Here is a 24496-nt window from a genome sequence, read left to right on the forward strand (position 1 = left end):
TCTCCAGGGGCCTCTTCCTCCATGGGAATCCCTGAGCTATTCTAAGCTAGCAGCTTCCCAGTCTTAGACATGAGCTTGCAGCCTACACAACAGAAGCTGGAGGTCTCAGTTCCAGACAGCCTAAAGTAAGCAATAAAAACAACCAGAGTGTTTTTCAAATTAAAAATTTTTGATGAGTAACCAATACTTATTACTGGTTTAATATACTGTTTAGACTTAAGCAAGAAAATTCACACCAAAAGGAAAACAGAAACATCTTTTCTATTCCATCACATGTCTTCGTAAAAGAATAAAATTAATGATCTTGGAAATGTATGTAAAAAAATAAAAATACACTAAACTTCTTTCCAAGAGTTATTTGTGGCTCAAGATACTAAAATTCTAATTTTTCTGTGCTGATGAAATGGAATATTTTCTCTATCATTATTCAAGTTTATGCTGCAATAGTAAGATACAGTATCTTACATTTTGAAGCTATGAGAAATTTTTTGGCAAAGACTCTTTGATGCAGATTATCCCACAACATAAATCAGAGCTGGTTAAACACACAAGAAACAGAGATGGCAATACAAGTAATTTTACAATTTGCTACACACAGTAGTAAGAAAAACAGGAAGTAGGTGTTTATTAGCAGTTCCAAATATACCAGCCAAAATACAACTCCCCATGGAGTCTGAGTTATTCAAAATATAGCAAAGAACAGAATTCCTACGATTATAAAAGGGTAATTAATCACAAGCAGTGTTCACAGACCAGTGACTTGGAAACTACCTTCTTATTGAAGATCTGGATCAAGAACAAACTTCAAAGCAAAATTAATTGATCTCAGATTCACTGCATCTGGCCAATAAACCCTCCCACGAAATGTCACTTTAAGCCCACTTGACAGTCTATCTTTATTACATAACAATTCTATATAGGGTGCATTAAATAGTCATTTTTCACCTACTTGGCTAGTATATCATTGCCTGCCCATATAAGCTGTTCGTGTTAAGAACACCACCTCGCACTGATACTCTGTTAACTGCATTCATAGGTCAGGCATATTGTTTAGGCTTGTTTCATAGGAACACACACTCCCCACGAAGCAGATTCACAAACTGGGAGGTCCCACTTCCTTGGACATCTAACATAACCTAGTAACTTCTAAACCTTGTCTTGGATAGAGTAATCTCTTTAAATATATGTTCCAATAGTTTCTGAATTAGGACAAAGGACCTTTAATATTAGTGGTAGTGACTCAAAAATGCATATTTTAAAATACATGAAACATAAATATACTTTAATTTTTTCAGAAGTAATGTAAGAGGGTTAAATGCAAATTCTGATTTGGTCTCATCAACTATTAGCTTATAGCTGATAAGATTGTGAAATTATGATTAAAAGTCCTAGGAACTTCTGGCAATAATAATTATTTGTGACAGTGAATGTGAACAAATTTCTTAACTCTTCTGTGATTCAGTGTCTCCCCTATAAGCTAAAGAAATTTGATGTTTGGCTCAGCTACTTCAAAAACTCATTAGAATGACTGTAATGACTCAACTATTTGTAAACTACCATTAGGTCCTCTGATTGAAGCTACTTTGAAAATGCAAAGAATTAGCAAACTAAATTATTTGTTTCAGTCGTGGAAATGGAAGAAATCAAGTAAGGGAACCTATGTGGATATTTAATTGGACTGGTTTGCAGGCATCTTATATCAGTCTATGTGCTCTTAGGAGTTTAGACTTACTAAGGAGAAGGATGAGAGTTCTTTGATAACAGCTCCATCACTAGAAGTGACAAATTAGCAATAGGCTAATTAGAGACAAATTTGCTCTTGTGCTCCAAGATGCATGAGACCTTCATGCTTCTTCCCTGATATGTGAAGACCAACCTCAGGAAAAGCCAGGTGACCAGCTTATTATCAGTTGGCCTCACTGTTTTTGTGGTTGGCCTTTTGTAATCAGCATGACAGAAAAAAAAAATTAAGGGAGAAGAAAGTAATTAAAATTAAATTTGAAATTAAAAATTAAGGGAGAGAGAGGGAGAAAGGGAGGGAGGGAGAGAGGAACATGTTGACATAATTCTCCCTTCTCTGCTCAGACAGTCAATAGGTGGTGTATCGGGATGGCTGTATGTTCACACAGATTGTTTCCTTCTCCAGGGTAAACAGCTTCCCATGTGACTAAGTTCTGGACAACAAAATGTGGCAGAAGCAAAGATTGCCACTCCTAGGCCTGGCTCCAAAACATGCCAATTAATCCTCCCTCTTTGTTTATCCCACCAGAGGGACCGCAGAGAAAGCCCAGGGAAGAGCCAAGGCCCTTGAGAGAAGGAGCTGGATCCCAGAATCTATGGAATTGAAGGAGAGTCCCACAGAAGTTACCTTCTGAGCACGCAATGGACTTTGTGTAAGCAGAAGAATAAACTTTTACCATGGTAAGCCACTGAGATTTGGGGGTTTGTTTGTTATAGCATCATGTAGCCTACCATATCTAATATAGACCAGTAAAGATAGACTCACTCAAATCAGTTCTCTTCAGCCAATCAACTCTAGGCTCCGAGGCATCTGGATAAGTTGGAAAAATGCCTTTCTTGTTCCCTCCCTTGTTTTTCTGGCACGTCAAACTTCCTGCTGACCAGCTCAACCGGTGGTGGCAGCCAGAGCCATAGCCTCCTCCTGGAACTTCTGAAATAAAGAAGGTCACAGATGTTCTCTGCAGGTCACACCCTGAAAATTTGCTCTATACTGGCTGGGATGCAAGGCCCATTTTTTCTTATTTCCCAGAATGATATCAGGCCTCTGTTCTTCACCCCTCCATGAGTTATAATTAAATCTATTTATGCCCAATGTGAGCAAGCCAAATCCAGAAGTCAGGGACTGCTGCCTGTTAGGATCATTCTCAGAGCATGGCCCAGTTGGTCCCCATGTTGATCACTGGACAGAAAGACCCACATAAAAGTATTTTACACTTGCTTCATTCATTCAGATAAATTAAACACAAACAGTCACCCCAAGGAGATTTCTAGCATGCTGCAGCTAACGAAAGGACTCATGTACCTGCTCAGACAAGGCTACAGAAGGCCAAGCGAGACCCTCTGTACAGAGAACCTCATGACTTTGCCTTGCATCTCTCAACATCTAGCCTAGTCACAAAGTGATATAAACCAAAAGAATTCATGAATATTCATGAATATGTACTGAAAATAACTTTCCCACAATCATTTTTTTTGTTGAGGTGTTTCCCCCAATACAGCCTCTGTTGTTTTCAGCTATGCTAGAGCTGTAAACTAGCAGACTGGGGCCACATCTGGACCACAGATATGTTTGTCTGGTCCTCACAGTGTTTTAAAAATAGCAATAGCAACATAAAATTTTTAAATGACATTTTTTGGTAATGAGATTTCACACAAAAGTCTAGATTTCTGGCTCCTCTTACAAAATAGGAAGATTGAGCAATACTGGACCAATGTTCTCCTCCTGGTGATACTCCCTTGGAACTAAGTTTCTGCTGCCCCTTGAAAGGGGGCCCACACTGCTCCTTAGCCCCCAACTTGTACACCACTCACCACACTGGCCACTCTACTTGCCTGTATTTTCTGCCTGACCTGGAAGGCGTTTGACTTACTACTTGGACAATACTTTTATTCATTTATGCCGCATACTTTTTCTCATTGCTAGCTATGTCCCAAGTACTGCACTAGATATGAGTGGTCCTTTCTCAAAGGGACAAGCATTTAGAAGAACAAGGCATGAGCAGGAAAGGACCTTCTTTCATCATGAGTGGCCTCTGCCCTCTCTTCTGCTGGGCATGGAGTGGAAAAGCCTGGAAAGCAGGAAGTCTTCCACTGGCCCTGGTTACTGTGTAGGTAGGCTTAGTAGTCTTGCTGTCACCAGGGTAGCAATCTCATCAAGGGAAGGGGCACTGAGCACATAGTCTCAACCTCCCCTTGCAAAACGTGGAGGAGTTCCTTTCTGGGCTTTGTCTGTGACTACTGCAATTCTCAGTCACCTTGGCTGGTGTCTGTGTTGGAAGGAAACTCCCCGAAGAATAGCAAACATCTTCAGTCTGACTCAAGCTTTGGCTCTCCTGATCTTCCCCCTGTACCCTGTCCATTAAAGAAAACCTATGTGATAGGGTGTCTGAAGATGGCACTTTGAATTCGAGGACCTGGACTGACCTTCTGTTGCTGAGGGTCACAGTCCCTGGGTTTCTTTTTGGTTTGTTCTTGGTTTATAATTTATGTTTTATTTTCTTGAAACCTTTTGTCTTTCTCCTTTTGTTTTCTTTTTCCTCCTCCTCCTTGTTATTATTGTTAAGTGTTTTTTAGCTTCTGAAGATAGAATTTCAATTGTTCTTATTTGCTAATTGATAACTGTTTCAATGCTTACATAGGAACTCCAGGAAATACGAATCATGTCTGTCTGGCCACTGCCTGACCCATAATCGATGGGTCCTGTCCTACGTATGAGTGAAAAACATGAAGACCTAGTGGCATATTACAGTGAGAAATAAACTTCTTGTCAATATGTGGGGACATATAAGAGCACTTCCTTTTCTCCCTGTAAAGTCCGAAATACAAGCACATAGAGGTTTCATCGATGCTAGTCTACTTTTATGAGGCTCAAAATTTATGGTCTCTCACTTGCCCCAAGATTACCAAAATTCAGTATAAACTCACCTAGAAGCTGGTGCTGTGTCTGAGTTTCAGCATTTCCGATGAGACAGATAGGAGAACTACAAACCACCACTCAAGGAAATAAGAGAGGACACAAACAAATGGAAAAATATTCCACGCTCATGGATAGGAAGAATCAATATCATGAAAATGGCCATACTGCCCGAAGTAATTTATAGGTACAATGCTATCCCCATCAAGCTACCATTGACTTTCTTCACAGAATTAGAAAAAAAACTGCTGTAATTTCATATGGAACCAAAAAAGAGCCCATATAGCCAAGACAATCCTAAGCAAAAAGAACAAAGCTGGAGGCATCACACTACCTGACTTCAAACTATACTACAAGGCTACAGTAACCAAAAGAGCATGGTACTGGCACCAAAACAGATATACAGACCAATGGAACAGAACAGAAGCCTCAGAAATAACACCACACATCTACAACCATCTGATCTTTGACAAACCTGACAAAAACAAGCAATGGGGAAAGGATTCCCTATTTAATAAATGGTGTTAGGAAAACTGGCTAGCCATATACCGAAAACTGAAACTGGACCCCTTCCTTACACCTTATACAAAAATTAACTCAAGATGGATTAAAGACTTAAATGTAAGACCTAAAACCATAAAAACCCTAGAAGAAAACCTAGGCAATACCATTCAGGACATAGGCATGAGTAAAGACTTCATGACTACAAAACTAAAAGCAATGGCAACAAAAGCCAAAATTGACAATTGGGATCTAATTAAACTAAAGATCTTCTGCACAGCAAAAGAAACTATCATCAGAGTGAACAGGCAACCTACAGAATGGGAGAAAAATTTTGCAATCTATCTATCTGACAAAGAGCTAATATCCAGAATCTACAAAGAATTTAAACAAATTTACAAGGAAGAAACCAAACAGCCCCATAAAAAAGTGGAAGAAGGATATGAACAGATGCTTCTCAAAAGAAGACCTTAATGAAGCCAACAAACATATGAAAAAAAGCTCGTCATCACTGGTCATTAGAGAAATGCAAATCAAAACCACAATGAGTTACCATCTCACGCCAGTTAGAATGATGATCATTAAAAAGTCAGGAAACAACAGATGCTGGAGAGGATGTGGAGAAATAGGAATGCTTTTACACTGTTGGTGGGAGTGTAAATTAGTTCCACCGTTGTGGAAGACAGTGTGGCCATTCCTCAAAGATCTAGAACTAGAAATACCATTTGACCCAGCAATCCCATTACTGGGTATATACCCAAAGGATTATAAATCATTCTGCTATAAAGACACATGCACACGTATGTTTATTGTGTCACTGTTCACAATAGCAAAGACTTGGAACCAACCCAAATGCCCATCAGTGATAGACTGGATAAAGAAAATGTGGCACATATACACCATGGAATACTATGCAGCCATAAAAAAGGATGAGTTCATGTCCTTTGCAGGGACATAGATGAAGCTGGAAACCATCATTCTCAGCAAATTAGCACAGGAACAGAAAACCAAACACCACATGTTCTCACTCATAAGTGGGAGTTGAACAATGAGAACACATGGACACAGGGTGGGGAACATCACACACTGGGGCCTGTTGTGGGGTGGGGGGCTAGGGGAGGGATAGCATTAGGATAAATACCTAATGTAGATGACGGGTTGATGGGTGCAGCAAACCACCATGGCACGTGTGTACCTATGTAACAAACCTGCCCATTCTGCACATGTATCCCAGAACTTAAAGTATAATTAAAAATAAATAAATAAATAAAAATTTTTATTTTTAAAACACTATTCTGAATGCTGTGGAGAATATATGGAGTTGGGTGTAAATGGAAGGCATGAGAAAGGATGTGGAAATGCTGGTTAGAAGGCTGTAATGGCAGTCCAGATGCTACTAACCCAGGTGTGGTTAAGAGTTAGCAAGAATTTTAAGTTTCCAAATCTACCCTTATCTTCTATTAAATGTATTTCCATTAAATGTGCTTACTTTATTAAAAAAAGAAAAAAGAAGAAGAAGAAAGAAAGAAAGAAAGAAAGAAAGAAAAAGAAAAGAAATCATCTTGTGCACGTGAGGCCAGACTCTCGCTCTCCACAGCAAACTGCAAGCCCAAAATCCTTTTTCTCCTAACTTCATTCAAAAAAATAAAAAAGAAATTTGGAGGAGACTGGGTCTGTGTCTGAGTGTAACTTACTCCTATTTAGGAATTGAGCAATGTTCTCTCTGAGCCTCCTCACCTCAGTTGTGTTTTTATTAAGTGTGTGCCTCCAGAGAAATACTAGATGTCTTTGCCTTTATTTTAGTGGTTTACATGATGCTGGGCTACGGGCAGGGAGGTGAACTCACTTGACCTCAGGCATCACGTGACTGATATTGCTTTGGTTCAATTGTTGTCTGGGAGGGATTAGGGATTGGGTGTGACATAACAATATTAATGAAAACAATGGCCATTTAGTTTATATAGATTCTTTCTTCCTGTGATTTCAAAGCAAATTTCAGGCTTAATACAAATGACATTGGAAAGGAACAAGTTGAAGACTTGGCAACGGTATCTTGCAAGAGAATTCATTCAGTAAGCACGCCCAAGCACCCACCACCCTCGGGATGTTGTGGTGCACGGAACAGTCACAGACCTGCCTTCTCAGGGCTCACCATTCTGTGTTCTTTCTGGTGACACTCACTTTTCCTACATTGGTTTTTTTTTTTCCCCAGTCAGGTATTATGAGTTTCGTACAACATCAGACTCAGCGATCTATATTCTTTAGTAGATCATTTCCAGTTTCCTCAACAGAGTTTGTCAGAGAAGCCTGGGTCTCAGCTCAACGAAGGCATGCTCTTGGAAAAAAAAAAAAAAAAATCAAATTAGTTCCAAAAAAAAAAAAAGTCTTTCGGGACCAGAGTCAGTCAATAATACTTAGTGGGGATGAGAGGGGCACATAGGGAAAGGGGTTACGTATTTACAAAGCCCTTTCTCTTATCAGGCACTCAGTTAAGGACTGGGAGAGTCAGTCTGTGTAACGCTGAAGCCCACCCCGAGTGGGACCTTCCGGAACCACCCTCTGCCTAGTGCGATTACCTCACTTCCCTAGGATGTCTGCTCATTTGCTGTTCCCAGCATCATTTCTATATGAGCACCTTCCAGCCAAGTCAATTAAAAAAAAAACAAAAAAACTCATTTCCCATCTTTGAATGAATCCTGAGAACCATCAAATGCTAATGTTAAACACAGTGGAGCTGCAAATGTTTTAAGGGGGCAGATTGGGAAGTGAGGAAGTAAGGGTTAGCCATTAAGAGTAGACTCAGAAGTTGGGGGGTCATGACGACTTTGAGATGTGGCTCATTTACACAAACCAAAACACGAATCTGCTAAACACATCTGGGAGGAAAATAAGACGTGAAAGGCAGAGGAGGGCACAGAGAACAATAAAGGAGGGCTCTGTGGGTATTTTGCCCTTTCTGTTAGTTGAAAAGGGCACAAGTATGTAAAAATATATAACTCAAAGACCCCAAGAATTTGTTACCTTTAAGTTCAAGTGACCCTTCAACAGATTTTGCTGAGATTCTCTAAGGATTTATGCCTGTGCTCCACGAGGAACAAAAATGTTAATCCTGCTATATGAACCAGCGAAATATTTGTTCGGCATTTTCCTCCGTAACTGACTTGTAGACACCCCACCTCCCCATCCCAAGCCCCATTGTTTTTGCTTCTTTAGGCTTCTGCAGCCAAATATCTAGAGTCCCATCTCAAAACTCAGAGAGGAGTCCCCTCTCTAGTCTATATGTGGTCAGATCAACTATTTGGGAAAAAGTAATCACTTTTCAGAAATTCTCCACGTTTTAACCTATTATATTTAGAAAAGAGGCAATAAGAAAATTTCCAACAGCTCATGAGATCCAAACATTTTTCTTTCTTCACTGTTAAAGATTTATTTCAACCTGTTTTACGCAAAGATGAGTATTAAGAATCACAAAAACCTATCACTTCCTTAAATACCAAAAATTATTTTTCAATCCCCAACCTCCACTATGACATAATCTATATAAAAGGAAGGCAAGCCAAAGACATTCCAGAGGAAAAGTTAGCTCTGCACTTTTAATTATCTTCTGGTATTTCCTTTTTTTTTTCCCTTAAAAGGCTTAAATAAACTCACCAGTGTTTAATTTTTCTAGTGTTTCTCAAAATTATTGCTACAGCTTATTAAAATTGGGTAACATAATTTCTGTTCCCAGTTCTTCTCTGTGTCATCCAAATCCAACAAGAAATAAATAGTGTTGCTCTGAACAGAATTTTTTACAATGGATTGAATTTCATCTAAAAGCATGTAATTCTGCATAGCCAGAAGCAGTTTCTAATCTTTATATATAGGAACTTACAAGGGAAAGAATTCAAAGCCATGGGATTAAGTGAAAAATGTGAATGAAGAACCACAAGCCCCTGCTCAGCTGACACCAGAAAAGCTCTGTAATGTTTTCTGAGTTAATCATTGCTACGGGTGGGAAAAATTGTGGAATATGCCTAATAGGTCTTGTAGGTCATTATTTACTGAAATGCTACATTGGGTGGTTATTTCTTTTTAAATACTAATAACCTAGAAAGCCTGGCCTCATTCAGCAAGAGGGTCAGCACAGAGGCATCTGATTAGTGTCAAAAATGACTGCCTCTCTTTAGTAAAGGAATTTCCTAAAGGAAACATAATTCACAATGACAAATGTTGGCATTTTTAGAATTACAAACATTACCTACAACTTGAATTCAGGTTATGAACCCACTGGACAAAGTTCAGTGATTGTTTAGTAGCTAGCAGATGAGTTCCAGTTTAAAAAAAATGAGCACGTACGTAAAACTATAAATAAAGATAACAAAAGTCTCTAATACTCAAAATGAAAAGCAGTTTTGAGTTGTTTCCCAGTGTATATCTGAACTGACTCTTTCGGCTGTACTTTCTCAAACTTAATGAAAACTGGTAGTAGAAGGAGGGAAATGTCTGACACTGGCGAATAAAATTTTCCCATTCTAATTACTCATTTATTAAGCATATGAATTCAATTTCTTAGCTGCTTTTAGTTTGAGGGACATAAAAGTGTTGGTGTCCATTTCAAGATGATAAACTCGCCACTAATATGGTCACATGGCTGGGACCGGCTTGCTGCTCAACATTTTCTTCTTAAACAAAGACATACACAATAAGAAAATTACTTTAAAAACCATTACTTATATGTTTATAATTAACTTATTAGTAGACGTTACTGAAGAAAGAAACCCTTTGAAGTTCTCCTCAAGCATCTTTAGAGTCATCTGAGTGTCAACACACTCTATTTATGACACTCGTAATTTTAGAGGTACATTGTACACATGTAACATGCACAGGGTGTCTGCTGGCTTAAATACGTTCCTCTGGTAGATGATTATTTTACACATTGTCTGATATTGTAGATACAATGAACTATGTGGTTCAGAAAATTGTATGCATCTTTTTTTCTTAATGTAAGAAAAATTTAAAATAGAACATATGAAATATTAATTGCAAACACAACACTTATAACTCCTATTTTATTATATATTGTGCATTTCTAATTGATATTTCAGCTAAAAAGCACCTTTGTGTGATATACTTTGTGCTCAGTATATTAATCAATTTTTATTTACTGTACAACTTCAAAACTATCTTAATATAATTTTTTTAACCAGAAAGGAATTTGAAATCTGAAAGATGGTTCTAAATATTTTATGTCTGCAACAATACAAAAGGGGAAGTTTTAATTCTTAAAACTCAAGAAACTATTGTAACTGAAATGAGAAACAGATAGATACTGTACATCAAACTTGTTCTCACAGGTGTGCTTTCTTAATGTTAAAATACCCGTGTGAATTTTTAGTTTCCCATAATGTAATGGGAGACAATAAATTCTGAAGTTACCCCATTTGCCTTTAGCCCTAACCACAGAAGAAGTAACCTCTTGTCTATTTAGATTTTCTGAGTATACCCACGTCCTTCTGTGTGTCATAGCAAAGCAAAGGTTTGTGTTGCGAGCCAGAGCTTATTGCAAGATCAAAGCTCTGGGCCACTCACAATAAAATAAGAGGGTAAAGCCCAAAGAATCAAAGAAACAAAGGAAACGTTTAGGAGATAAGGATCAGTCTCAGATATATGACATTTCATCCAGATCAGATCCTGTGCAGAAGTTCAATTCAAAGTTCATAAGACAAAAATACAAAGCAATAAGTTTGAAGACTTGGTTGATTCCCTTTATCTGCATGTCACTGATTCTGATTTTATTTCCATTTTTTAGAATCGGAGAATGCCATTTGCTGAATAATGGAACTCATCTCATGTTTTAAAATCCTATGTGCATATAAGGTTGTGTGCGGATACAAGGTTATTTTTTTCATTGAAGTACCTCCAACCTAAAGCTCAGAAACAGGTGTGATATAGCACTCCTATAAAAGGTAAAAAAAAAAGAGTTTAACTAAAATTCCATTCTCTGATTATTTTGCTCTATTGGGTTAATACTAATGGAAGTCTTTACAAAATGTTAAATACAATTTTTTAAGATAAATACAAAAATGACATATGCTTATGTCAAAATGACAAGTACTTAAATTTCAAATTTTCACAGGAAATAAAATATAGATAAATATGCTTTGGGAAGGTATTTCAAATACTGTATTATGTCAACTGATTTAATGGCTTACTGAATGAGTCACTTGAACACAGTTCTAAAGCATGTTAATTCTGTTCTAGAAGTTCAAAATATGTTTTTAGAATGTATAATTTTGATTATTTTACTGTATACCCAAATATTAAAATATTCTGAGCTGCATGTGAACAATAAAAAGTCATTTCACAAAATTTGGAAAAATCTTTCCAAGTCATTGTTTTTCAAGATTCTATATAGCTTTATGAAACAGAGTACTTCAATTATTTTTCATCTTACACAATTAAATCAACTTGAGGCCAGGTGTAGTGGCTCACATCTGTAATCCCAGCACTTTGGGCAATGTAGGAGGATCATTTGAAACTAGGAGTTGGAGAACAGCCTGGGCAACATAGCAAGACCCCATCTCTACAGATTTTTTTTTCATTAGTCAGGCGTGGCAGCACATGCCTGTAGTCCTAGCTACTCCAGAGGCTGAGGAAGGAGTATCGTTTAAACCGAGGAGTTCAAGACTGCAATGAGCTATGATTGTAGCATTGTACTCTAGCGTGAGCAACAGAATGAGACCCAGTCACTAAAATATTAATAATAATAATAAATACATAAATTTGAAAAGCTTAAAAGGTACATTTTATATTATTTTAAATGTATTTAAATAGCGTTAAATTTCATAGTTAAGTTTATGATTTAACAATCTTAGGTCGATTATAGAATAACATTTATAATCATTCAAATACAATTTTCTAATGGAATTTACATTGTCTCACAATTACAGCTGTGTAAATTGTTTTAATGTCTGGTATTAGTACAGGATTTCCATACCCAACAATGCAAAAAAAAAATCAAAGAATTCTGGTCTAAAATCAGTGCATACTGGACCCAAAGCATAGGCATAAAATTATTGTCCAGCTTAGAATATTTTGATCTGGGGCCTTAGATATTCCAATAAGTATTTTACAAATATCTCTTTGGTAACTCTGATATTTTATTAGTTTCAAAGAGGAAACTTTTACATAAAAAGCTAGTGTTGTCTGAATTGCCTATACAATCAAGGTATTGATCACAGCTATTGTTTATTGAATCACCGATTGTTGACAACCTGGCATGTACTGTGGTAAGGCTTTTGCACTGGTAAGCTCTAGTTGTAGGACAAACCTGAAGAGTGATCATGTTGCACCTAGTCTATAGATGAGATAAACTAAGTCCCAGAGAGATTTGATGATTCCTGGAATTACATGCTGGGCTTTGGCAGAGCTCCAGTTTTTTTCTATTCAAAAGTAGGGTTTCCTTCTCCATAATGTCACTACTCATGAAGAGTCTAAGAGTTTATGTCACTCTATGAACATAAACAATATAGGAGTTTCTGCTTTAGATACTCTGTTTCTTCTTAGATTAATGGTATTTTTTTTTCAAAAAAAAGAGTTATAGTAGAGACTAGCAGTAAAGATACAGACTCATGTCAAATTTATGTCTAAAACATTTATTGTAACTATTTGGAAGGCTATTTTATATGTAATTAGAAGGTTAACCAAACTCTCAGGAAGTCCATTACTGTATTAAGATAACCTCTTACAAACTCTCACCAAGTAAAACATGCACATACAGAAAGTTGCCAATAAAAAAAAACACACAAAAACCAAGTAGAGCTCAAACACTTCATTTGATTAAAAGTTTTCTTAACTAACTGGAATGTTTCCTTAGATTTTCTCTTTGGAATCTAAAGCTATATTATGAAATTGCTTTTCAATTCCCCATACGGTGATTATTTAATCATGCCTTTACCAGCTGTGAACATAGCTTCTCTCTGATAACAGTTTATTTTTAAAGGAAATTGTCTTTGAAGAAAATATTTTGATACTATGCAGCAAAATAAGAGTTCATTGGAAGAAAAAAAAAACAAAGATCACAAAAAGAATGACTTCTAGTTGGTCTGTGGGGGAAAAGGAGGAATAGCAGCTACATAAAGATAAAACAAAACCAGCCACTCACATGGGAGGAAACAATTGGCTTGTTCCACATAAACAAAACTGACTGGCAGCTCCTTTTTGCCATGTTCCACTGGGTGCCTTGATGTCTTTTAAACACAGTCAAATATCCAGACTCTGTGTCCTCTTTTTCTTTCACGACTCCCTCTCGGACCTCAATCCTGTCTTAAGTATGCCATATTGTGCCAGTGAACCTCAGATCTTACATATTTGAAAAGCTTCACTTTTAGGGATATAAATAGAGAAACCTCAACTTTGTCAGGAAACTGGCAGAAATCAGGTATAGGGGGACTCCCCAAGGCAGCAAAGGAACGGAAAAGTGGAGAGACAAAAATAAAGGAATTACTCTTCTTCTGTTCCCGTGTGCACACTCACTAGAACCATGGAATGGGGAAAAGTGGAAAGAAAAAGGCATTGACCAAGAAGAGGATGGGACCCCCATGTCGGGGAGTACAGAGGAAAGGAGACTTCTGCCAAGGTTGTAAGGCATTTTGGACTAGATCATTCTCTGCTCTAGGGGCTGTCCTACGCATTGTAACGTGTTTAGCAGCATTGCTGTCCCCTACCCCTCAGGTGTCATTATCACCTCGATCCTCAACCCTCATCCCACTCCACCCCCTCACTGTGACAAACAAAATTGTCTCTAGACATTGCCAAATGTGCCCTGGTGGGACCAAATCACCCCACTGAGAACCACTGCTACCAGTATGGAGAGGTGCAGAGCCAATCAGAAGTCAGTATCATCTCTTCAGCATCATTTCTTTGGTGTCCTGTCCCCAGCCCAAGAGACTGTCTCATTCTCATTCAACATTTATTAAGCATCTACTTTATTTCAGGTTCTGGGCTGGGTGCTGGGAATTCTGAGTTGATAAAGAAAGACCGTATCCTTGCCTTCAGAGAAGCTACAATTTAGGAGAGACAGAAGAGTGAGAAATGCAACAGATAATCTTGCAAAGAGTGGGAACATAATGTAAACAAGGGGAAAACTGAAAATATTAACCATTGAACCTAAATGGACAGTGGCCAAAGTGCTCAAAAAGGGTTTAGGAAGCCTCCTGCTATTGCAGGTGATAACCCTTTAATTGCTGAATCATTGGGAGGTTCTGGAGGGAAGTCCCTGAGGCTGGCACTCCAGGGCCTGTGAAAATATTATATTATTTCACAACCTTTCTGGTTGTACTAGAAAATAGTCTGTAGATCCCACCCAAGCTAGCACAGAAGCAAAAACGAGATGAAAGTGGAAATAATGGCTTAGCGATAGAGATAATGCTTGGGCTGGGTCTCAAAGCGTAAGAGTTTATCTGGTGTACAAAAAGATGAAGGGGAGAGGAAACAGTATGCAGAGAAACATGGAGGTGATAATCACGAGAGAATGAAGAGACACTCTAAGAGAGCTGGTGTGCCAAGAGCTTAGACTACAGGGCATGGGGAGGGAAAAGATGGGTCTAGGGAGGTAGACTAAGCATGGAAAGTCTTGAATGGACTTTATCCTCTAGGTGATGAAAACTGCTGGACAGTTTTAAACAAAAGAGGAACAAGATTATTATGGCAGGAGTTTGGCAAATAGACTTAAAAAGTAAGGAGGGATTGGATAAGTACAGAGAAGAGGGATCTATTAGAAGCTAGGGACTAAGCACAGAAAAGACATTAGAAGGTAAAATCAGCCGGCCTCCCTGAGTCATGCCTGTAATCGCAGCACTTTGGGAGGCCACAGGTCACCTGAGGTCAGGAGCTCGAGACCAGCCTGACCAACATAGAGAAACCCCTTCTCTACTAAAAACACAAAATTAGCTGGGCGTGGTGGTGAATGCCTGTAATCCCAGCTACTCGGGAGGCTGAGGCAGGAGAATCGCTTGAACCCAGGAGGCGGAGGTTGCTGTGAGCCGAGATTGTGCCATTGCACTCCAGCCTGGGTAAAAAGAGCAAAACTCTGTCTCAAAAAAAAAAAAAAAAAAAAAAAAAAAAAAAAGGTAAAATCAACAGGAACGGGTGTTCAGTTCAATGTAGGAGGCATTACAGAAAGAAGAAAACAAACCTTAACAAAGGATTCCTTACACTGGCCTCATTGTGCTACTTCAGACAGTGATGAATTTATAACTGCCAAATTGAGACACACACAAAACCACCATATCTACATCAAATGTACTATGATTACACTTGGAGGTTTGAGCTTAATAAGAAAATACTGGCTGTCCATCCCATTACTGGGCGTATACCCAAAGGATTATAAATCATGCTGCTATAAAGACACATGCACACGTATGTTTATTGTGGCACTATTCACAATAGCAAAGACTTGGAACCAACCCAAATGTCCATCAATGATAGACTGGATTAAGAAAATGTGGCACATATACACCATGGAATACTATGCAGCCATAAAAAGGATGAGTTCATGTCCTTTGTAGGGACATGGATGAAGCTAGAAACCATCATTCTGAGCAAACTGTCACAAGGACAGAAAACCAAACACCGCATGTTCTCACTCATAGGTGGGAATTGAACAGTGAGAACACATGGACACAGGGTGGGGAACATCACACACCAGGGCCTGTTGTGCGGTGGGGGGAGGGGGGAGGGACAGCATTAGGAGATATACGTAATGTAAATGATGAGTTAACGGGTGCAGCACACCAACATGGCACATGTATATATACGTAACAAACCTGCACATTGTGCACATGTACCCTAGAACTTAAAGTATAATAATAATTTAAAAAAAAAGAAAAGAAAGTATTGGCTGTCATTAAAAAAACATATTATTTTTTTCAAAAACGAAAACCTTTGCGAACACATTCTAATTTATACCAAAGAACTAAAGTGCCAGGAAGACATAGGGACAATTCAAATTTGAGTTTGTGATGAGTGGCTATGATCAAATTTTGCATTATTCCTTAGATTTAATTTATCATCTCTGTAAGCAACAATCTTCAGGGCAAGGGAGAGCTTTTAGAGCCTTTGTTACAGTCAAATTTATCTAAAAGACAGAACTTTTCATCAAGGGAATTAAAGACAGCACGGCTTCTTCCATACACTTGGGTTAAGTTGGTTTTTTTTTTCTTTTCTTTCAAATATCAATAGCTTAAGACAGAAACAGCATATGGGAAACCCAGAAAACCATTTACACTCAGCAGATATGTCCAGCTGGACTTCACCCCAGCAGAGGTTAAACATTAACAGGTGCAAGGAGAGACTTTTGTGAAAATACTGTTTCATATGACTTCATCTCATAAACAGTTAATGTTCGTGGATATTTTATACCCCCTTAGGCAACAATTTCTTTTTCCTCCCCTGTTCACTTCAGCAGTCCTGTTTTCTCCACCCTGGCTTCCCTATTTCATCCCCCATCACATCCCAAGAAATGAATTCTCCTATCTTCCTCCTCTTTTGGCATGCCCCATTAAACTTGGAGCAGTCTTAGGTGATTTTGCTTCCTGCTTGAGAAAGGGATGTCATCATGGTGTATCTGAATCTGGAACTGGCAAATATATGCTCCATATAGACCCATCACTCCTTGTCGATGACATTGATAAGAAATTGTAGCACTTTTCTCCCCTGATTCTAGGTGTGCCTCCAAATTTTTCTCAATTCAGTATCCTAAGCAATCACTACCATTTGGTAGGAGCAGGTGCTTGGGGTGCAGGCTAATTGCCATCCCTATCTGAGATCCTGGTCATGTGCTTCCCTCTTCTGTAGGTGGAGTTCTACTTTTACAGCTCTTAGCATCAGTGTTTCAGGATATAATAGGTGGTGTGTGTGTGTGTGTGTGTGTGTGTGTGTGTTTAAAAAAAAAAAGTAACCCCCTTTTCTAAAACTCAACTACAACCTTCTTAACAAACCAGCTCAAAATATGCCAACCACCTACTTATACTAACTTTTTTTTCCTTCCTCTCCCATTTTGTCTCCAATTTCTTCCTCCCCACCACCCCATCTTTCCCTCAGTAATGGTGGTGGTCGTAGCTCCAAAAGGGAGACCATTCTAAGAACCTAATGAATCTGAGAATGTGAAGGTTTATAGGAACTTCCTAAATTAAAATGTGGGCATTGCTTCACCCCAGAATGTCCTTGTATCCTTTCTGAAAGACAGTGCAAGCAGAATGCATCTCACCTGTTCCATGCAGCTCCATTCATTTGGGGTCCTCTTCTGCTACCTGGGGAACCTGGCAAAGTGTACTTGTATTGTGTACATGGGGCCTCTGGGCTTGTCTCACAGGCCATGGTGGGAGGTAGAGGAAGTGGAAGGGAAAATATTCCTACCCAAGATCTGGCTACTGACCTCTTCTAGAGTCTGTTGTACCCAAGCTGTACAACAGAGTATGAGAGAAAGAGAAAGAAGTGAGGAAAGTGGTGGGAAAGGGAGGTGGTGGGCAGAGTAGAGAGGAGGCAAGGAAGGTTGGGGAGGAAGGAGAAGAGAAAAAGAGGAGGAGGGAAGGGGAAGAAGAAAAGGAAAGAACACAAGGTGTTGCATATGGATTTTCTCCTGTAATTTTCACAGCAAGCCTGGGAAATATACATAACCATTATTGCTGTTCCTTTTCTCTTCAGATGAGGAAACTGAAGCTTAGAAAGTTTAAGAAACTGGCTTAAGATCTCATAGGTAGTAATTCGTGATGCAAGAATTTCATCCCATGTAGTCTGAATCCAGAGCCTGCTATTCCTGCAAGGAGTAAAAGAAGAACATACAAACTAAAGATGGTAAAATGGGCTTTCTAAAGAAGTTTGAGCATCTTTGGAAATAGGGAAACAGAATTAATGCTGTGTTTTAAAAAAAGTAGACCAAAGCTACAGGGACTTTGGAGATCCTCTAGTCTAAGTGGATTATTTTCAGAAGATGAAACTGAGGCTAACAGAAGCTAGGGAGGACCCTCTCTCCTCCCAACTCCAAGTCCTGGCTTCATAAACAGGCCTTTAAAAAGCGAAGTTATTGCCGTCAAGAACTGCTTAGATTTAGTTGGGAGAAGAGAGCAGGAAGGGAGAAGGGTTGGAACTGGCTAATTGTCAGTTGTTACCCACACTGGGTTAATTTCAAGTCTAATGGTACCTGAAGTCAGTTCCTCCTCTCCCTCCTGGGTGGGGGTCAGACAGAGACTCACTTAGTGAATGCCCGGGGGTCCATTCAGTGATGGTGGTTGAGACAATGCTGGCTGGTGCAGATTGCTTGTTTTGGAACCAGCATTCCAGGGCAGGCATTCCACACAAGTGGCCACAGCATTCTGCATTCTTGGAAGGGACCACTACATCCCAGGAATGGATGGCTTTGTTATGTCTTATCTCCTAATCTGCAGTTGGAGATTTTCCTTCCTTTTGCAGGTGCTCTCATTTCCTTCATTATTTGTTTATTAGAAAATCTTGTGGCCTTCCAAAGTTATTCTTATGCTAAGGAAGGTCGAATGTGATAACATATTTGTGTTGGCCAAGAGTGAGGACATAGCAAACACTGAGAGTCACATAATCATGAGTATAACTGAAAGTGGTGCTTCACTATAAACAAAAGTTCCCTGCCCCCAACAGTGGGGGTCATTAAAGTTTCAAAAGTAGAGAGAGAAGGCAAGAGGTTGCTCCTTCGTCTGCTGGTGCTACAAATCTAGTTGCTTGAGCTCTGTGGAAGTTGTGGCTGGAACTATTTTTAAGATTTAATTCAGGGGCTACAGAGTTCAGAGAGCATTGCCAAAAGAATGCCTGAGAAGGCCTAAACTGGACCAAGGGTTCTGCGTGGGAAATAAGTTTTCCACACTTTTACATCCCGAAACCTAGGGAAAAACAAAGCAACACTGAGTGTGTGGGGCCAGAGATGAACCTCACCTTATCTTTGCTTCCAAAAAATAAAAGGATGACCAAGAGAAAAGCCAAAAAATCTTTTTAGCAAAGCATTATTCAGCTGACGTTCTCATTTCTCACACACCCTCTAAACATTAAGTAGACATCAGAAGTCCACATTTCAATGGAATTATGGGATCTTATTTTGCTAGAAACCGAGAATCTCAGTATGAACATCAATTCTTATCATTCCTTCACTGTGAAAAAAAAACACAAATTTAAAAGAAATTATTATCATATGAAAATGTTGCATTCCTGAAATTCTAATCCTTTATCTACTACCCCCAGTATATTAAGGGCAGTTAATATGAGTACTACTTTTTAATAACCTACCTTGCTGCCAAATGGACTTACAATATAGCAAAGGTCACATAAAATATGCAATATAGTAAACAAAAGGATGGTAAAGGAAAATAAGGAAAGGGGTATAAGTTGTAAATGGGAAGTGGCCAGTTCACAAAATATATACCATGAAGTCCTACACATCTGCTAAATGTCGACCAAACTTTGTTTTAAAGCTTTATAGCAGCCAACAAGGACAGGAAAATATAATCAGGTACACAGCCCACAGTGTCCACTGGGTGAGAGCAAACCAAATGCTCAGGAGAGACATGGTTGTTTGCAATGCTAAGACCACAAAAAACATCTCCCAGGAGACCTGAAAAAGGTAAACCCAAGGCTGGGTGCAGTGGCTCACACCAGTAATCCCAGCACTTTGGGAGGCCAAGGCAGGTGGATCACTTGAGGCCAGAAGTTAGAGACCAGCCTGGCCAATGTGGCGAAACCCCATCTCTACTAGAAATACAAAAAAAACTTAGCCAGGCGTGGTGGTGCATGTCGGTAATCCCAGCTACTCGGGAGGCTAAGACAGAATCATTTGAACCCGGGAGGTGGAGGTTTCAGTGAGCCGAGATTGTGCCACTGCACTCCAGCCTGGTGACAGAGCAAGACTCTGTCCCACCCCACCTCCACCCCCCCACCCCTGCCAAAAAAAAGGTAAAACCTGTGTAGTGTATCAAGCAATGTCCAGGTCTCATTCATTCATTTGACAATTCCTCACTGACCTCCTACTAAGTGCCAGGCACTATGTAAAGAATGGAGGGAGATACAACAAGATACAAGAGCCGGAGATACAAAGGTGTCCAAACACCTAAGAAAGGTGCTCCAAACACAGACTGGTCCCTGCCTTCATGGAGCTTAACATTTAGTGAAAGGGAAAGACATTAGTCAAATAATCACAGAAGTAAATGTACAATACAACTGTGGCAAGAGCATCAAGGAAAGGGAGGCAGTGCTATGAGAACATCTAATAAGGAGGATCTGACTTAACATCCTTACAGTAAACTTAGCGCTTGGTTTCAGAGGACTGTTACAGTCACCAGTGTCTCACCTCCCTTATTACTTTGAGAGGAAACACACAGAAATTTTATATCATGCAAGCATCAAATTAAGTAATGTCTGTGAAAGGCTTTGAAAATTATAAAGAATGATGTAACTATAAAGTACGTGAACCAAGAAAAGAAGTCTCAAATATCATGAGTTAGAAAAAAAAATTCCTATACCAAATGAAGAAAGAATCTGAATAAGTAAAATAAGTTGCATAATTCTGATTAAGTAAAATTAACTATAGTAATTGAATTATTATACATTGGTAATTCTGTGTAAATAGAATAATTGTATAAATGTTACCTAAGCAGTGTAAAGCAACCATAATTCAGCTTTTCAATCACCTTAAACACCCATTTAAAAAGTATTCCAGGAGGGTCTCTTGAGCCCAAGAGTTCAAGGCTACAGTCAGCTATGAGCTATGATCATGCCACCGCACTCTACCCTAGGCAACAGAGCAAGACCCTGTCTCTTCAACAAAAGAAAAAGTATACAAATAATACTTGCTACAAAAATGTGGTTACAAAATAGGCTTCTAATTTGTTTAATTGTAAACTGTTGCATCAACCTCATATGATATGTCTCTTTTGTCAACTAATGAATCCTAGGTAATCAAAAATGGTTCATACAAAAAGAACTCCAGTTTATATGGTTTTATCAGAAACATTATTGGAACAAAATAATGACTTTTTCTTCCATACCATCTTCCACTTACCAGCAATAACCTGCTGTTTCTAAAATTAAAAAGAAAATTAAAGTGCGAAAGGTGCCTTCAATTTGCATAGTACTTTCTCAGTTTCTAGATCTGTTCACAGAGACTACTTAGTTTATGTTCACAACCAGTCTATGAAATAGGCAAAGTAGAAAACAGGAGTTCAGGAAGGTTAAGTGGCGAGGTCAAATAGCTGGAAAGTAGCAAAGCCAAGAAGAATATGGCCACCAGGTCTTTCAGATAAGGTCTTTCCACTGTACCACTCTGTAAGTTACCCACAAAACTCCCCAGAAAGGATATTATACATCAGAAAGGGGGCTCACCAATAACAGGAGTGAAAGGCAGGGGCTGAGACGGTCCCTCCTAAGTACACACTTCACCAAGGACTTAAGTACTTGGGTAAGAGTCCTTTCACTGAGAAGCGATTGGTGAGTTTAGTTTTTCCAGGTCATGTGTTTTCTGGAATGCATTATGCACCATCTTTTTAGCCCTGGGAGCTTCACCAACACCCCATCCCAGTTTTTCTCACACACCAGTGGGCAAGCACCAGTCAAACAATTCTAGGCACATCTTCCTGAAGATAGTGCATGCCTTCACTTGCGCACTAGATAAAACAGCCCCTCACCTCCTGGCATCATTCTGTCTTTTCCTTTTCAGTAAAACTCCTGGGGGATTCCTTCACAATGATCCAAATGTATGTGGAGTAGAAAGCAATTGTTGGTTACAAAAGGCCATATTTAGGGTATTTCCACTTGTATGTGCAAGGGGGAAAAAAATCAAAGAATGAAAACAAATGAAAAGAGAGAGTCTTAAGCACAATAAAACTGTCTGACAAGCATAAATAAACATCACTCTGTTAGATAAGCATTCTCTACCAGTTTTAAGGCTTTAGTGTATGTTCATTTTACTTGTAAGCAAAACTAAGAGAAGAACAAGTAAAAATTACAGAGAACCAAAAGTCTTGCGTTAAAAGCTAAATAGCCCCAGCCCCTTCCAGTTGCATCTTCTCCTTCCTCTAGATATGCAGTGAATTCAATAGACATTTCAAGTCAGAAGGTAGATGAGAGTGAAACTTCCAAACTAACAAAGCTGAGGGGCAGGTGATGCTTCACCTGCCCAGCAGAACCAATGCAGGGTGTTGCTTTCAGAGCACAACTCTGTGAATAGAAATTCTCGGAGCCATAAAATCAGAGCTGGTTTTTTTTAGAAGTGGTGAGAGGACAGGATGTAGAGGAAGGAGTTTTGGTTACGGTTTTAGTTCCACTGATATTACTCATCACCAGATATTTTTTGACAATGTGCAAGGCACTGAGCTAGATGCTGAAGAAAATCCTTAGAAATAAAAAAACATAGCATCTGCCCTTGCAGAGGAAAGAAGTCCTGCCCTTGAACATTTGTCCTGAAATCTCAGAAGGAAAGTCCAGAGATTCTCTTGAGGACTGACTGTTCTAAGACATGTACCTGCTGATCACAGATATCAATAATCACAGCCACATGGCACAATTCTCTCCTCCTTTTTTATTTTTCCTTTTCCTTCCTTCCTTCCTTCCTTTCTTTTTTCTTTCTTTCTTCCTTCCCTCCCTCCCTCCCTCCCTCCCTTTCTTTCTTCCTTTCTTCCTTCCTTCCTTCCCTCCCTCTCTCCCTCCCTCTCTTCCTTCCTTCCTTCCTTCCTTCCTCTCTTTCTTTCCCTCTTTCTTTCTTTCTTTTCCTTTCTTTCTTTCTTTCTTTCTTTCTTTCTTTCTTTCTTTCTTTCTTTCTTTCTTTCTTTCTTTCTTTCTTTCTTTCTTTCTTTCTTTCTTTCTTTCTTTCTTTCTTTCTTTCTTTCTTTCTTTCTTTCTTTCTTTCCAGGTCTCACTCTGTTGCCCAGGCTGGAGTACAGTAGAATGATCATAGCTCCCTGCAGCCTCCAGCCCCTGGACTCAAGTAATTCTTCTGCCTCAGCCTCCTGAGTAGCTAGGACTGCAGGCATGCACTTCCACAACCAGCTAATTTTTTAAAATTTTTTTGTAGAGATAGGTTTTGCCATGTTGCCCAGGCTGGTATCAAACTCCTATCCTCAAGCGATCCTCCTGCCTTGGCCTCCCAATGTGCTGGGATTATAGGTGTGAGGCACCACACCTGGCCCCAATTTTTATTGTTCCAGGTGACCCTAAGGAATTCTGGGGTTATTCTTGATTAAGTTTGTAGAGGAGAAAATGTCCTCCCGCTGGGACCTCTGGTAGGGCAAAATATCCTTGCTCTATTTGTCTTCCTTTAACAGAGGTTAAGGTGTGGGTTTTAAGTAAGTCAGACCTGAATCTCAGAGTTTGAATCCCTGTTCTGCTACATTCTCACTGCAAATTAGGACAGGTTTCTTAACCCTTCCAGGAATTATCATCTGTAAGATGCAGACATTAATTGGAGTGTAGTTGATAGTTGTGGAGAAGCAATGAGATAATGCAAGCAATCCCCTAGTACAGAATCCGGCCGGCGTCGGTGCTGGGAAGATGTCAGGTCATCAGCACTGCCATCCTCATCTACCCAGTGCATATCACCAAAGATGAGACGACTCTCTCATCTTCTGCCTCTAAGACACACTGCGGTTGGTTCCACTGTGGTACAAACAGCCTACAGCTCCTGCTAACTTGCTACAGTAAGGTGATCTCCTCTAAGGTACCTCCTATACGGTGATCTCTTCACAAGCACCAGTCAGGCCATTTTAGAACAGGTCTGGGATGTTGATATTTTCCTTCCAAAGAACCCTGATACTCTACATATCCTCTCCCTTCTCTGCTACCATGTTCTGGCTGAAAACATGCTTTCATACTGCCAGTGTTAAGAATAATTCTTTAGAATGCATTGTTATATTGTCTTGCAGATTATAAAGCACTTTCACATCTGCTATTTCATGTGATTCTTGCAACAATTCTCTGAAGTAGGGAATTCTCCTTAGGATGCACAGAGTGATTTCATGACTTGCCCAGTGTCACACTGCTGGCAAATAGCAGAGCAGGAATTGAACCCACATGACCCCAAACAGCGCTTTTCCGTCACAGCCCGAGGGGTCAGAGATAGACTTTTAGGTTCTTCATCTGCAAGATGCTCAAGTAAACCCTTGGGTCCCCAGTAAACCAGTCAGAATCCAGGTGTTGCCGGCCCTGCTTATAAAACAGACCTATTTCTCTCCAGGAAGGCATCTCAGCAGAAATATATTTCACTGTCCCCTCCAACCCAGGCCCCATCCACATGGAATGCCTGGAAGAGCCAAATAAACAGATTTAACTGACTTAACATGTTTTCCTTGC

The 24496-nt window shown here is 39.4% G+C and overlaps 1 long non-coding RNA gene across 1 annotated transcript in view, besides 1 other annotated feature; it reads right to left on the minus strand.

The window, feature by feature from the left end:
• Window positions 1–601: 601 nt before the first annotated feature.
• Window positions 602–24496, minus strand: part of LOC107984676 (uncharacterized) — a 44077-nt gene continuing 20182 nt past the window's right edge. Inside the window, exons 3-4 of the long non-coding RNA XR_001750978.2 lie at window positions 7337–7490; window positions 602–2671 (exon numbers count right to left, since the gene is read on the minus strand). This is a non-coding gene — a long non-coding RNA (uncharacterized LOC107984676). The remainder of the gene's footprint in view (window positions 2672–7336; window positions 7491–24496) is intronic.
• Window positions 21224–21333: an enhancer, noted in NCBI's record as "active region_8408". NCBI's record gives its function as "activates an Ori minimal core promoter by ATAC-STARR-seq in GM12878 lymphoblastoid cells {active_cell/tissue: GM12878}" and the evidence as "EXISTENCE:reporter gene assay evidence [ECO:0000049][PMID:35858748]".

The sequence above is a fragment of the Homo sapiens genome, chromosome 14 (assembly GCF_000001405.40).
Source record: "Homo sapiens chromosome 14, GRCh38.p14 Primary Assembly".
NCBI lineage: Eukaryota > Metazoa > Chordata > Mammalia > Primates > Hominidae > Homo > Homo sapiens.